This window comes from Homo sapiens, chromosome 7 (assembly GCF_000001405.40).
Source record: "Homo sapiens chromosome 7, GRCh38.p14 Primary Assembly".
In the NCBI taxonomy this organism is placed as follows: Eukaryota; Metazoa; Chordata; class Mammalia; order Primates; family Hominidae; genus Homo; species Homo sapiens.
The window spans coordinates 2910550-2925904 of record NC_000007.14 but is presented as its reverse complement, the minus strand read 5'-3'; the positions used below and the strand labels follow the sequence as shown (position 1 = coordinate 2925904).

General features: G+C 54.4%; 1 protein-coding gene across 2 annotated transcripts in view, besides 3 other annotated features; it reads left to right on the top strand.

Annotated features, from left to right (window-relative positions):
• The window catches only part of CARD11 (caspase recruitment domain family member 11), a 137726-nt gene that overhangs the window by 117963 nt on the left and 4408 nt on the right, over positions 1-15355 (top strand). For both annotated transcript variants that reach the window (NM_032415.7, NM_001324281.3), the window contains 9 exons: positions 1540-1672; positions 2572-2773; positions 3145-3271; positions 6293-6533; positions 7318-7414; positions 8520-8615; positions 10533-10668; positions 12439-12618; positions 13609-13733. In NM_032415.7, coding sequence (NP_115791.3) covers positions 1540-1672; positions 2572-2773; positions 3145-3271; positions 6293-6533; positions 7318-7414; positions 8520-8615; positions 10533-10668; positions 12439-12618; positions 13609-13733 — 1337 coding nt within the window. The remainder of the gene's footprint in view (positions 1-1539; positions 1673-2571; positions 2774-3144; positions 3272-6292; positions 6534-7317; positions 7415-8519; positions 8616-10532; positions 10669-12438; positions 12619-13608; positions 13734-15355) is intronic.
• Positions 2120-2836: an enhancer, noted in NCBI's record as "H3K4me1 hESC enhancer chr7:2962703-2963419 (GRCh37/hg19 assembly coordinates)". NCBI's record gives its function as "activates a minimal SCP1, AML or CMV promoter by ChIP-STARR-seq in naive H9 embryonic stem cells {active_cell/tissue: H9 hESC(naive)}" and the evidence as "EXISTENCE:reporter gene assay evidence [ECO:0000049][PMID:30033119]".
• Positions 11920-12420: an enhancer, noted in NCBI's record as "H3K4me1 hESC enhancer chr7:2953119-2953619 (GRCh37/hg19 assembly coordinates)". NCBI's record gives its function as "activates a minimal SCP1, AML or CMV promoter by ChIP-STARR-seq in primed H9 embryonic stem cells {active_cell/tissue: H9 hESC(primed)}" and the evidence as "EXISTENCE:reporter gene assay evidence [ECO:0000049][PMID:30033119]".
• Positions 12421-12921: an enhancer, noted in NCBI's record as "H3K4me1 hESC enhancer chr7:2952618-2953118 (GRCh37/hg19 assembly coordinates)". NCBI's record gives its function as "activates a minimal SCP1, AML or CMV promoter by ChIP-STARR-seq in primed H9 embryonic stem cells {active_cell/tissue: H9 hESC(primed)}" and the evidence as "EXISTENCE:reporter gene assay evidence [ECO:0000049][PMID:30033119]".

Here is a 15355-nt window from a genome sequence, read left to right as displayed (position 1 = left end):
GGAAGAGAGGCCGACCTTGGAGGTACAAGTCTGAAGGGAGAGGCCAACATTGGAGGTGCAAGGCTGTGGGGAGAGAGGCCGACATTGGAAGGCAAGGCCAGGGAGAGAGGCCGACCTTGGAGGTGCAAGGCTGTGGGGAGAGAGGCCGACATTGGAAGGGCAAGGCCAGGGGAACAGGTCGACATTGGAGGGGCAAGGCAGGATGGGGAGAAGTAGGGAGGGTGAAGGCGGGCTTGCAGGATCACCACCTTCAAGCCTGTCTCAGCACCGAGGGAGGGTGGCAGCATCCCCTGGCCCCGACAGAGCTGGCAGCAGGGGAGACTGTGGCTCAGAGTCCTCCAGGTGTGCCCTGCCAGCCCCCTCTCTTCCAGGGCTCCCCCAGCCTTTGCCAGCTAAGGCTGCCAACCGATGAAACGAAAGATGAGTGGTCCTCCTTAATGGGGAAGCATCAGCGCTACCAAGTGTTAAAGAGAGGTTAGCCCCTAATCGAGGCTGGGTAATGAGAAGAATTGAAAGAGTTTTGGAAAGGGGAGAGAATCCCGGGCAACCGTCCAAAGTATTTTGCAGTGTCGGGAAAAATTCCATTTGCAGAGAAGCCTTTGTTATCAGCCCCGAGCAGATTTGTAGTTCTCTCCATCCCAGCCACCCAGAGCTCTGGGCAGTGGGTGTCTTTCCTCCAGGTGTTCTGGGTCCACCTGGGGTGAGAAGATAGGGAGGGGCTCCTATCGGGGCCAGACCCTCCTCTTCCTGCCCTGCTTCAGGCCCCTGCGGGCCGGGAAGCTGATGGATGATGGTGAGGCCTTAGGGTCCCAAAATGAAAATGTGGGGGCCCAATTCAAGAACAGAATGAAGCCAGCCGCGGTGCCTCACGCCTGTAATACCAGCGTTCTGAGAGGCCAAGGCTGGTGGATCACTGGAGGCCAGGAGGGGTGACATAGCAAGACCCTGTCTCTACAAAAAAATAATTAATTAGCCAGGCATGGTGGCATATGCCTGTAGTCCCAGCTCCTTGGAAAGCCAAGAGAGGAGGATGGCTTGAGCCCAGAAATTAAAAACCAGCCTGGACAGCATAGTGAGACCCCGTCTCTATAAAAAAAAATTTTTTTTTAATTATCCAGACATGGTGGTGCACACCTGTAGTCCCAGCTACTCCAGAGGCTGAGGCAGGAGGATCACTTGAGCCCAGGAGGTTGAAGCTGCAGTGAGCTATGATTACACCATCACACTGCAGCCTGGGCAACAGAACAAGACCCTCTCTCAAAAAAAAAAAATCTTAAAAACCAGATACCTGATAAAGCTTCCCACTAAGAGGAAGCTCCTGGAGGCTGGAGAACATCTGTGTTGGAGACATTCAATGCAGGACTCAGCCATCTGTGCCAGGGAACCTCAGAGACCCATCTCCTGGGAGGCTGCCCGGGAAGAGTAGGGAAGGAGGGCTCCGAGCCTGCCCCCAGTGCCGGGACCAGCCCAGCAGGTCCCAGGGCTGTCTCCAGAGCTCCCCGCCACCCCTGGTACTGATGGGCCCTCGTCCCTCTGCAGATGACAGTCACGAACGCTACTCCTTCGGACCCTCCTCCATCCACTCCTCCTCCTCCTCCCACCAATCCGAGGGCCTGGATGCCTACGACCTGGAGCAGGTCAACCTCATGTTCAGGAAGTTCTCTCTGGAAAGGTACCCCAGTGAAGGGGAAGCCGGGGTTGAGGGTGGGGATGGGATAAAGACCCCTTGCCCCCTCGCTCTCTTACAAAGGGGACCATTCATGTGGGCTTTGTTCTCCTAGAGCCAGAACCAGAATTGTAGCATTCCCGAGTCAGAAATCACTTCCTGGCTGGGCGCATTGCTCACACCTATAATCCCAGGACTTTGGGAGGCCAAGGCGGGAGGACTGCTTGAGCCCAGGAGCTCCAGACCAGCCTGGGCAACACGCAAGACCCCATCTCTACAAAATAATTTAAACATTAGCCAGGCATGGTGGCACACACCTGTAGTCTCAGCTACTCAGGAGGCTGAGGCAGGCGGATCACTTGAGCCCAGGAGGTTGAGCCTGCAGTGAGCTATGATTGCACCACTGTACTCCAACCTGGGCGACGGAGCAAGACCCTGTCTCAAAAAAAAGAAATCACTTCCTCTGACCTCCCAAGTGTCCAGGTGCAGAAACCGAGGCCCACAGAGGAAGGGGCTTGCCCAAGGCCATGCAGCATGGCAGAGGCAAAGAAGTGGGACCCAGATACCCAGCAGTCCCCATCCATGACACAGTGGAGCCCGGTGGGCCGCGCTCAAGGGGACCCTCCTAACATGGCCCTTGCCAGTCCCAGCACGGCCGCTGCGGCCACAGAGGGTGCCTCAGCTCCTCTCCTCATCTGCATTTCTCGCAGCAGGAGCCACTTGTGAGCTCTCACTTCCCTTAGCCATTAAGGGCCTTCTCGGAGCCAGGACACCCAGGCGCCTGATGACCACAGGAGGCCATGCCACCGGGGTCCTGGCGCCCACCACCAACCCCCGGTGTGTCCCAGTAGGGCTTTTCTCTTTTCAGCCCAGCTGCCTAACTGACATTCTGTTTCCTGCTGCAGACCCTTCCGGCCTTCGGTCACCTCTGTGGGGCACGTGCGGGGCCCAGGGCCCTCGGTGCAGCACACGACGCTGAATGGCGACAGCCTCACCTCCCAGCTCACCCTGCTGGGGGGCAACGCGCGAGGGAGCTTCGTGCACTCGGTCAAGCCTGGCTCTCTGGCCGAGAAAGCCGGCCTCCGTGAGGGCCACCAGCTGCTGCTGGTGAGGGGATGGCGGCAAGGGAGGTGGCTGCAACTGTAGTGTCAGTGGTGACATTTAGGAGCCCCTAAGCCTTGCATTCAGCCATGGATCCCCGGGCAGGAGGAGGGAGCTGGAAGGTGGTCAGACCGTCGGCATTGTTGGGCCCTTCTCTCCCCAGCTCCCCGCCCATGCTTCTGCATCCTGCAAGCTCCCAGGGTGCAGGCAGGAGGCAGGTGCACCCCCCTGAACAAGATGCTTTTTCCCCCTGTTGGCACTGAGCTAGTCTTTGTTCAGGGAGAGATGGTTTTTTTCCCAATGTACAGAGAGCGGTCTCGCTCCCGCAGCTCTGCTGCCTGTGGGGCCAGGAGACAAACGCTGTCTCTGCTCTCCAGCTAGAAGGCTGCATCCGAGGCGAGAGGCAGAGTGTCCCGTTGGACACATGCACCAAAGAGGAAGCCCACTGGACCATCCAGAGGTGCAGCGGCCCCGTCACGCTGCACTACAAGGTCAACCACGAAGGTGAGACCTCCCTCCACCGTCTGGAGCGACCCTTGGCCAGGGAGGCGAGTCTCTGACCTGGACAAGTGACCTCGCCGCCTAGAGCCTCTGCTTGCTCGTCTGTTCAGTGGAAGGCATGGGCACTTCCTGGCAGCATCACGAGGTGCAGGGGCAGGTCTGGGAGAGCACACAGGGACGGCAACAGCCGTGAGCGGGGCTTTGCTGTCTTGCACTGGCTCTTTGGCCACGTCTGCACTCACCTGCCCAGGTGTCTCGGGCTGCCCGCCGGGTCACAGTGGACACGGCATCCCCAGCCTCAGGCACACCTGTTGGAGCCCCGGCTGGCCCAGCTCAGCCCTCTCCCTGGTAAGTGGAAGTTTCCTCCTCTCTCGGGCTTCCCATTCCTGATGTCCGTAGGCAGCAGCTCTAGGGTCAGTCTGCCCACGGACTGGGCATGGAGAAACAGAGGTTCCCTGTCAGGTCCTGCTGGGGGATTCCTGGCTTTGTTCAGCGTATCTCAGAAGCCTGCTCACCCACCAGGCCGGGGGCCATAGCAATGGCTACCTGAGCTCTCTGCCTCCTATGAGAACAGAACCTACAAAGAGGACCCTGTTGGAGTGAACTTTCTTTCCCTGGAATTCCAGACTGCAGGGCTGTGCTGCTTCCCAACCCTGGGGGGCGCTGCTCACATCATATTCTGTGGCACTGCTGGCCAGGGGGCCCAGAGATTTCTCTACCCAGGACCAAGACCACTGAACCACATCCTGGGCCCCAGGATTCTTGCTCTGTGATCCCCCAGCTCCGGGGCAGGCGGGCCTCACCCTCCCTTTTCACGGGGCCCCCAGCATCCTTTGAATGGGATCTCCTCCTTCTCGGCCAAGACTCCTGGGCTGTGAGCTCTGAGCTTTGTTTTCCGCTCTGAACAAGTCTGAGTTCTTGTTCTCACCTCTGGGTTTTTCTACATGATTATCTCTGCAGCTGGATCTTATTTTTAACCGCCAGGGCTCATGAATGTTTCAGTAGAGAATAAATAGCCAGTTTCTCTCTATCCACTCCCCAGAGCCGCCTGCTTGAGCTCCTTCCCGGCAGTGCCCTGCCCGTGCAAAGACAATAGTGATGCTCTGTCCCTACATGCAGGACAGGCTTCTCTCCGATGGTGCACCCTGATCTTCCAGCCCAGCAGAAAATCCGTGGGCCTGCAGAATATGATGTGGGCAGCACCTCCAAAGCCCGGAGCTGCGCAGCAGCACAGCCCTGCAAGTCTGGAATTCCAGGGAAAGAAAGTTCATTCCGGCAGGGTCCTGTGTGCAGGTTCCGTTTTCACAGGAGGCAGAGAACTCAGATAGCGATCACAGTGGCCCCTGGCCAGGTGGATGGGCAGAATTCTGAGATGTGCTGGACAAGGCCAAGATCCCCCGGACGGACCTGACAGGGAACCCTTGTTTCTCCATGCACAGTGGTGGGAACATTCATCAGATAATCCAGCTGGCTGGCACGGCCCTGGAATGTGGGCGTGGACATTCGACAGGCTACTCTGGTTATTAGAACCATTTTAGCTTCCGCAGTATTATACAGCCCTCAGCAGGTGGGGCTGATGTGGGGGTTTATATTATGGTTTGATATCATAGCAGAGCTTGCTGCATTTGTTGCATTCATGGTTTATGCCCCGCTCCCTCACAAAGTATTTGCAAAACTTTACTTGGGAGGTTGATGACATTTAAATAAGGTTAAAACGACATGTGCCATGGTCTCTTTGGGAAACCATTTGGCAGTATCTTCTAAAGATAGATAGAAGATAGATAGGCAGATAGATAGATAGATAGATAGATAGATAGATAGATAGATAGATAGAAGATAGATAGAAGTAGAAGATAGATAAATAGATAGAAGATACAGAGATAGAAGATAGGTAGAAGATAGATAGATAGATAGATAGATAGATAGATAGATAGATAGATAGATGATAGATAATGGATACATAGATGATGGATGGATAAGTAGATAGATGATTAGATAGATAGATAGATAGATAGATAGATAGATAGATAGATAGACGATAGATAGATAGATGATAATGGATACGTAGATGGATGATGGATGGATAAGTAGATAGATGATAGATAGATAGATAGATATTCTATGACCAAGTAATTCCACTTCTGTGTATGTACCCAAGAGAAATGGGCACACATATCCATAGATAGACAGATAATAGGTAGAAAGATAATAGATAGATGAATAGATAGATATTCTATGACCAAGTAATTCCACTTCTGTATATATACCCAAGAGAAATGAGCACGTATATCCACAGACAGCAGTGTGTGTGAATAACTCATAGCAGAGTTGTTCACAATAGCCCAAAACTGCAAACAATGCAAATTGCACATGGGAGAATGGATACATCCACATACCATGGAGTACTATACACCAGTGAAAAAGAGCGCCCTCCAGCTACATTGCAGCATCACAGACAAATCTCACAGGCGTAATGTTGAAAAGTGGAAGCTGGAAGTGAAGAGAACATATACTGTTTGGTTCCACTTACATGAAGTGAGATTCAGCCTATTTATAGCAACATCGGTTAGGAAGGTGGTTCCCCTTAGGAAAGGTACTGACAGAGAGGGTTCTGGTTGTTGCTGCCCACACATATACATTTGTGGAAATTCATTGAACTGAGTACTTAAGAATTTATGCAGTTTACTGTATGCGAGTTGTGCATCAGTGAAAAAAATAAAAAACAAACAAGTGCTGTATAATGGTGGGGAAATATGAAGAGTGTAGCGGGAATGCTAGTAAAGGTGATCACTGCAACTTGGCAAAAATTTCAGCTTTGAGCTTCCTGGCAGCCAAGACAAAAAGGGAAACTGGTAAACAACATGGCTACCTTCACTGGGGAGGTAGAACTTTCCCCTGGCTATGAGCTCTAAGAGCAGCATATTGCACAGGCACGTTGGTGGTGAGGAAAGCTGCTGTAGGAGCAGCTCTGATGGTCGGGGGACCCCATACTGATAGACAGCTGGAGCATCTTTCCCTCCGCAGGGTACCGGAAGCTGGTGAAGGACATGGAGGACGGCCTGATCACATCGGGGGACTCGTTCTACATCCGGCTGAACCTGAACATCTCCAGCCAGCTGGACGCCTGCACCATGTCCCTGAAGTGTGACGATGTTGTGCACGTCCGTGACACCATGTACCAGGACAGGCACGAGTGGCTGTGCGCGCGGGTCGACCCTTTCACAGACCATGACCTGGATATGGGCACCATACCCAGCTACAGCCGGTGAGGCCAGAATCAGGGCGGGGCCTCCATTTCCCTGAGTCTATGGAGGACCAGGCAGGAGGCTGCGGATGCCACGAACATCAGCAGAGGGGCTTATAGAGAAGCCCAGGCCAAAGAAGGCCACTGCTTTCCCTGTTTCACAGTGAGGTCCCCCAGGCCCTCCTCCTCCAGGAAGCCCTTCCTGCCTCCTCAGAGATGTTTCTCTCAACCTTCACTAGAATCCTGTAGAATCCTTTTCCATCTGGTAGTGACCAGACCACTCAATTCTATGCTGTCTTGCTGGGTTCACTAGTCATTTCTTTTCCATAGACCTCATCCCGACAACGACGTTGTCATTATAACAGCACTAGCCCCCAAGGACTGAGCACAGGTAGTGTGTCGGGCACACAGCAGGCATCTGGAAGCATCTGTAAGACTGTAACACTACACATCCATACCACAGCATCTATGAGACCATAACACCACACCTCAGGCCAGTCCTCGAAGGCAAGCATCATCACACCAGATTTACAGAGGAGGAGACCGTGGCTCAGAGGGGTTCGGCCACTTTGCTGCAGCCTCACAGCAAGCCAGTGCTGGAGGTGGGATCCAAACACAGATACAAGGAGCCACATCTTCTCCCCGGGCGCCCCCTGGGCTCAGAGCGCACACCAGCCACAGGGCCATCCCTACGCAGAGTCGGACACGCGCCCCACCCATGCCAGTGCGGTGCTGCGGCCCCGCTGGCTTCCCGGTGCTTGGCCCCTGAATTTCAGCCTCTGAGGCTCCTCTCTTCGCTCCCCAGAGCCCAGCAGCTCCTCCTGGTGAAACTGCAGCGCCTGATGCACCGAGGCAGCCGGGAGGAGGTAGACGGCACCCACCACACCCTGCGGGCACTCCGGGTAGGTCTGCCAAGCACCCTGTGGGGGCAGCAGGGGCAGGGATCTCGCCAGCTTCAAACCTAACTCCCGGGTCTTTTTTAGAGGCAGTAACAAATGCAATCCATCCGTATTGGGATGATGAATTCTAGGGAACTTGGTTCCTTGGTTCCTTAGGAATGAGACGCTCCCTATAGAAGGAGCCCCATCCTCTCATGCCCTCCCACAGGTCCTGACTTTCCAGGACAAGGGGTTGGTGTCTGGCCGGGCACAGTGGCTCACGCCTGTAATCCCAGCACTTTGGGAGACCAAGGTGGGCAGATCACTTGAGGTCAGGAGTTCAAGACCAGCCTGGCCAACATGGTGAAACCTTGTCTCTACTAAAAACACAAAAATTAGCCAGGCATGGTGGTGGGCGCCTATAATCTCAGCTACTCAGGAGGCTGAGACAGAAGAATCACTTGAACCTGGGAGGCAGAGGTTGCAGTGAGCCAAGATCGTGCCACTGCACTCCAGCCTGGGCGGCAGAGCAAGACCCTGTCTCAAAACAAGAACAAGGCTGGGCACAGTGGCTGACGCCTGTCATCCCAGCACCTTGGGAGGCAGAGGCGGGAGGATCATGAGGTCAAGAGATCGAGACCATCCTGGCCAACATGGTGAAACCCCATCTCTACTAAAAATACAAAAATTAGCTGGGTTTGGTGGTGCGCCTGTAGTCCCAGCTTCTCGGGAGGCTGAGGCAGGAGAATCGCTTGAACCTGGGAGGTGGAAGTTGCAGTGAGCAGAGATCATGCCACTGAACTGCAGCCTGGTGACAGAGCGAGACTCTGTCTCAAAAAAAAAGAAGATGAGCCTAGGTTTCTGGCTCCAGCTGGACTGCAGGCCTTTGCTCTACCATCCCTGGTCTCTGTTGAAGCAAATCACCTCTCTCCCAAGTCTCCAGGACTCCTCTCCCCTACCCCGCCTGCCCCTGCCTGCCCCCGCCCCTTGCCTGCAGCCTTTTGATTTCCCTAAGAAAGCGTTAGCATGGAGGGGCTTGAGGACAGGTCTCCAGTTCTCACCAGCATCATTGTGTTCTCCCCTCCTGCCAAGCCCAGCAGGGCCTGACTGATTGATAAATTCATTTCAGAACACCCTGCAGCCAGAAGAAGCGCTTTCAACAAGCGACCCCCGGGTCAGCCCCCGTCTCTCGCGAGCAAGCTTCCTTTTTGGCCAGCTCCTTCAGGTAAGGCTCTCCGGAGCACCTACCGATTTTTCAATCATATTCTGCTGTGGCCCTGCCCTCTCCCCACTGAGAAGAGACACCCGAATCAAAATAACCATGCTTTGTGTTTGTACACCACTTGCAACTCTTCACAGTGCCTCACATCTCCTGTCCCGTTTTATCCTCTCAGTGACAGGTGGGTAGACAATCTCTGTGCCTGCGGGAAGCAAATCCCACTTTCATAAAAGATTGAGGAACCTTATGGTGAAAAGAAACTGAAGTTAGCTGTTCAGATACTAATAGAAAGATCAGAAGCAGTGTATCAGGAGATGAAAACAAACATCCTAAATATCTAGGCCAGATCAGGTCCTCATTAATTGAGCATTCAACTTATCTGAGCATCCCGGCAGCCAAGGAAAAAAGGGAACCCAGCAGAGTCTTTCAATCTTATCTGTCTTGGGAAACATTTTAGCAATCAAGACCAGAAAGGACTTTTCCCTTCTACTTAATTCTAAAAGGGATTTTTTTTTTTCTGGCGTGGATCATTATACAAAGAACATTGACTAGCATCGTGTGTGGTATCTTCAGAAATGGTTTCTCGTAAATGCAGAAACACTCTTTGGGATCGTTTCTTGTATCGCCCGTGGACAAAAGCCAAGGGGGTAATATGAAAATGTGACCCCATGAGCGTGTTCCTGTGTGGCTGCCTCACTCATTAGACCCCAACGGAGACAGTGTTATGTTCCGCTGCTCCATCTCAACCTTGGAACAGGGAAACCCAGGGAAATTGTGAGCAGTGTGACCCTAAAATCCAGGTAGACACAAACAAGTGGCGGAGAGACACCCAGGTGGAAAGGAAACCTGGCAAAGTCTGAGGGGTTCACAAAGGCAGAACCATTTGAGATGACGCATTTTTACACCCGCATGACATGCAAGAGTGGAACCTTGGGGCCAGGCACAGTGGCTCACGCCTGTAATCCCAACACTTTGGGAGACTGAGGCGGGTGGATAACTTGAGGTCAGGAGTTCGAGACCAGCCTGGCCAACGTGGTGAAACCCCGTCTCTACTAAAAATACAAAAAGTAGCTAGGTGCAGTGACAGATACCTGTCATCCCAGCTACTCAGGAGGCTGAAACAGGAGAATCACTTGAACCCGGGAGGCAGAGGTTGCAGTGAGCCAAGATCGCACCACTGCACTCCAGCCTGGGTGAGAGTGCAACACTCCATCTCAAAAAAAAAAAAAAGTGAAACCTTGGGAGTCTCATCCAGAGCCCTGTAGCCAGTTAACAGAGAGCCGGCTGACACCCCAGATGCCATGCGTTTTCCTTCCTGCAGAAGGAAGAGTGTGGAGAGACTCAAAGTAGCCCATAGAATATGGTGTGAACCTGCTTCTGGGCCCATTGCCAGGGCATCCGTTTCTGCCCTCCAGGACTCAACTCTGTGAATTGTAGAAAAAAGTGGGTGCCCCCATTAAACTTAGGGATACCGAAGCAGAAAGGCATGGTGAGCACAGTGTCAGAGGGAGGTGGCATTGTCCAGCACATGCCCAGCAGGGGGACAGTCCCTGCCCACAGGGGTTTCCAGCCAGGGGTCTTCATGGCTGGGGCGGCTCAGGTCCCACAGTGCCTGCAGAGCTGCACCTGAGGTTCCCACGGGGATGCACATGAGCTTGACCCGAGACTCATCCGGCTGCGGAAGACAGCGTGGGCACCGATTCACTCATTTACCTACTGAGAACATCTCTCCAGTGGCTAAAGGGCTCGAGCCACCTGCTGGGAGTCTCCTGCTTTTATAGGGGAAATGACTGGCCCAGGAACCCCCAGGGGCAGAGCAGGGATTTGAACAAGGTCTGGCTTTGCCGGGTTGAGGGCAGCACCCTGTCTGTTTAGAAGTGGAAGCAAAACAGTCCTCCCCCGACCCTCCCTCTTCTCCTCCAGTTCGTCAGCAGGTCCGAGAACAAGTATAAGCGGATGAACAGCAACGAGCGGGTCCGCATCATCTCGGGGAGTCCGCTAGGGAGCCTGGCCCGGTCCTCGCTGGACGCCACCAAGCTCTTGACTGAGAAGCAGGAAGGTACATGGGGACCGCCTGGCCCCTCCCACCACTCCCAGCCACAGTCACACATGCCTCACCCTCACCTGGAGGAACATCGGTCCTTGTGAGGGGGCCTGGAAGTCCTCCAAAGGGAGAGGAGGGTGGACACAGGTGGCTCACGCCTGCAATCCCAGTGTTTTGGGAGGCCAAGGCTGGAGGATCGCTTGAGGCCAGGAGTTCAAGACCAGCCTGGGCAACATAGTAAGACCCCCATCTCTACAAAAAAATATAACTATGGCCGGGCGCAGTGGCTCACGCCTGTAATCCCAGCACTTTGGGAGGCCGAGGCGGGCAGATCACAAGGTCAGGAGATCGAGACCATCCTGTGAATGGTGAAACCCCGTCTCTACTAAAAATACAAAAAGTTAGCCGGGCGCGGTGGCGGGCGCCTGTAGTCCCAGCTACACTGGAGGCTGAGGCGGAAGAATGGCGTGAACCTGGGAGGTGGAGCTTGCAGTGAGCCGAGATCCCGCCACTGCACTCCAGCCTGGGTGACAGAGCGAGACTCCGTCTCAGAAAAAAAAATAAAATAAAATAAATAAATAAATATATATATATATAACTATAAAATATATAAAAACATTAAAATAAAAACATAAAGCATTAAAAATAAATCTTAAAATATGTAAATAGCTAGGCATGGTGTCACGTGCCTATGGTCCCAGCCACTTGGGAGGCTGAGGTGGGAGGATCACTTGAGCAGGAGTTTGAGGCTGCAGTGAACCAAGATAACATCACTGCAGTCACTCTGGCCTGGGCCATACAGCAAGACTCCTAGCTCTAAAAATAAAAATAAAAGACAAAAAGAAATTAAAACGGTGAGGGAGCCTGGCCTTGGCTGTGAGGACCATGCTGCCTCGGGGTGACATCCCGCCAAGCTCACCCAATAACGACGCTCTCGTGTGGTTGCTTCGCTCCCGGGTACCCGTGTTAATTGGGGCTGTTTGCTGTGAAGTGTTCGTTTTATTGATTTCTCTACCCACTGAGTGCCACTTGCCATTTATCAACCCGGCGAGGGGCCTCCCGGTCCACCGTCCCCCACCCCGCTGGCCCTGGCTGGCCCTGCTCAGGGAAAGGGAAGCCACACAGCCCTGGCTGGATCTCAAAGGAGGCCTTGGGGCGGCTTCCCGGGCTGGCCCTTTGGACGTTGGAGTGGCCAGGCCAGGGTACAAGAAAAGGCACAAGGGACAAGGGACAGGCTGCCCGTTTCTGGGAGCTGTTTCCTCGGGCTGCCTGGGGGTGGCTTCATCAGAACCCCGGGCTTCTGTGTGGCTCTGCCACTCCAGCCACAGAGGGACTGAGAAAGCAGAACTGAGGCCAAGTCGTCCCTCCCAGTGCTCCTGGGAGACACCCAAGGCCTTGGCCGCTGGTCCTGGTGTCTCGTGGGTGCCTGCCGGCACTTGCTTTCCTTGCCCTCGCCCTCCCCTCCGCTGGGCTGTACCCAGTCCCTACCCTTCCTCCAAGAAGCCCTCCTTGATCGTCTGACAAGGCAAACTTTCCCTCCAGAGCTCAGCCAAGGTTCCTGCATTTGTCACACACTCTGCCTGCCCCCCACCACACCTCCCCTCCCTGGCACACAAGCCCCAAGCAGTGCCAGCCCGAGGTGACCTCAGACACTGGATGCCCGGGGCAGCAGCCAGGCCTTCACACTGACGGTGGCTTCCAGGACCCAGCCCAGGGGCCCCGTCCTCCGTGGAAGGTCTTCGGAGCCCCAGGGGTCTGACCGCCACCCTCTCCTGCCCCTGCCAGAGCTGGACCCTGAGAGCGAGCTGGGCAAGAACCTCAGCCTCATCCCCTACAGCCTGGTACGCGCCTTCTACTGCGAGCGCCGCCGGCCCGTGCTCTTCACACCCACCGTGCTGGCCAAGACGCTGGTGCAGAGGCTGCTCAACTCGGGAGGTGCCATGGAGTTCACCATCTGCAAGTCAGGTGAGCGGCGAGCCACGGCCACCTGGGGAGCCCCGCGGGAGCCATGAACCAGGACGACTTCCCCTCTTCTCTTCCCTCCTCCCCTCTTCTCTTCCCTCCTCCCCTCTTCTCTTCCCTCTTTCCTCCTCTTCCCTCTTTCCTTTCCTTCCTCCTCCCTTCTCCCTCTTCTCTTCTCCCTCCTCCAACTTCTCACTCCTCCCCTCCCCCTCCTCACTTCCCTCCTCCCCTTTCCTCCCCTCCTTTTCTTCTTCCTCATCCTCCCCTCCCTCCTCCCTCTTCTTCCCTCCTCCTCCTCCCCATCACCCCTCCTCCCCCTGGATAGGTGGATGGATGGATGGAAGGATGGCTGAATGGATGATGGGTGACTGGGTGGGTGGACAGATTGATAGATAAATGGGTGGGTGGATGGATGGATGGAAGGATGGGTGGGTGGATGGGTGAGTGGGTGGATGGATTGGTGGATGGATGGATGGATGGATGGATGGATGGATGGATGGATGGATAGGTGGGTGGATGGATGGATGAGTGGATGGATGGATGGATGGATGGATGGATGGATGGATGGATAAGGGGATGGGTGGATGGGTGGATAGGTAGGTGGACAGATGGGTGGGTGGGTGAGGGGTCGGTAGATGGGTGGGTGGATGGATGGGTAGGTGGGTGGGTGGGTGGAACAGGAGATTTATTTAGACTGGTGATCAGCCTTGCACCACGGTGCCTGAGCTGCTTTGTCCAGTGAAAGGTATTGCTGAGGTGCCAAGCACCTGCTCTATGGGCTGCCATGGGGAGTATGGAGAAGGTTAACCTTAGCCCTGCCCTCAAGGAGCTTCACAGTCTAGTCGAGGGGAGACGAGATTCATTTAAACATGGCTGGAAGGGGATCGGACATCGAGTTCTGTAGAGCCCAGAAGGTGGCAGGCAGGGCCTGAGTGGGATGGTCAACCCAAGGCCACCTCGTGCTGCCCTCAGGACTGGCCCCTCTCTCTGCAGATATCGTCACAAGAGATGAGTTCCTCAGAAGGCAGAAGACGGAGACCATCATCTACTCCCGAGAGAAGAACCCCAACGCGTTCGAATGCATCGCCCCTGCCAACATTGAAGCTGTGGCCGCCAAGGTGAGGCGGGGACTGGGAGGTTGGATGGGGCCAGGACCCTCCGTGATGATCCTCATGAGGCCACCTGGGCCAGGGACAAGGGTGGGATGAAGAGTTGTTTTCACCTCCCCGTGGCCAGACCTCTCCTTTTCCCCTTGTCCCAGCAGCTGCCCCGTGTTAACTCCCTCTCTGCACCCTTGTTCCCTGGGCTCTGAAGTGAGTTTTTATTTTGGAGCTTTCTATTTGTGTTGGCTTCCTGGAGCTGGTGTGTGTTCGCATTATTTAGGAGTGTGTGTGTCTGGTTGTGATAACAAGGGCCAGAGATAGAGAACGAGCTCATCAGGGCGAGAGACAGGATGAACATGAAGGTGACAGGTATTGCATTCACCAAACGAGGGGAAAACGGGGCATCACAAGGGTTATTGGCAACGATGCAAAAAGGTTGTCTGTGTGCAATGTGGAGTCTTTGGAGCCAGACAATGTGACCTAAGCGTTGAGCTCTTCCTCGTCCCAGCACTGGATGAAGAAAAGGCTCTCTGTCCGCGTCACTGGAGGGCTCCCCCAGCTGCCGGGGGCTGGCTCCGTGGTGGACGCTGACCTTGGGGATGGCAAGAGCAGATGGTGGTGTTTTTGTTTTTTTTAAGTCTGGGCCACAGCAGTTTAGGAAATTCTGATAGCTGGCGTGGATAGAAAGTGAGCAGACAGGGTTGGAGCTGAGATTGTTTTTAGCTGAAAAGAAGAAGCCTTCCAGCAGATCTGTGCTGTAGAAATGTGGGCCATGGTCCTATTGGTGGGGAATGGGGAGCAGTGGCCCCGCAGGAGGCCCAAGGAGACCCTGGGCGAGGGGGGTCATTCCCACCTCCAGACACGAGTGCTAGACTGCGTTCAGTTTGTGAAATTCACTGAGCTGCATGCTTAGAATGCTGTGTTTATGTTCTATTCCAATGCAAAGTTTGATGTTTTATTTATTTAGAGACTGGGGCTCGCTCTGTTGCCCAGCCTGGAGTGCAGGGCATGATCCCGGCTTACTGCAGCCGCGACTTCTAGGCTGAAGCAACTCTCCCGCCTCTGCCTCCCGAGTAGCTGGGACTACAGTTACTCACCACCATGCCCAGCTAATGATTTTCTAATTTTTTTAGAGATAGGGTCTTGTTATATTGCCCAGGCTGGTCTCGAACTCCTAGCGTCAAGCAATCCTCCCACCTCCCAAAGTGCTGGGATTGCTGGCATGAGCCACCATGCCAACATTTGGTGGAATTTTTTTTTAAGTGATGCCTTCAGCAAAGCAGAAATTGCCCTTTCTCAAAATGATGAGCTCATGGTTGAGAACCTTGCAGATACTCCTGGGACCTGCCAGCCTCGCCGCCTCACCCTTCATGTGTTCCCTACCCTCTTACTTGAAGGCTGGCTAGGGTAGCAGGTGTTTTGGGGTGTGTGTGTGTGTGCGTGTGTGTGTATGTGTGTGTGTGTGTGTTTGAGACAGTGTCTCACTCTGTCACCCAGGCTGGAATGCAGTGGCACCATCTCGGCTCACCGCAACCTCCACCTCCCGGGTTCAAGTGATTCTCCTGCCTCAGCCTCCCGAGTAGCTGGGATTACAGGCGTGGGCCACCGCACCCAGCTAATTTTTATACTTTTAGTAG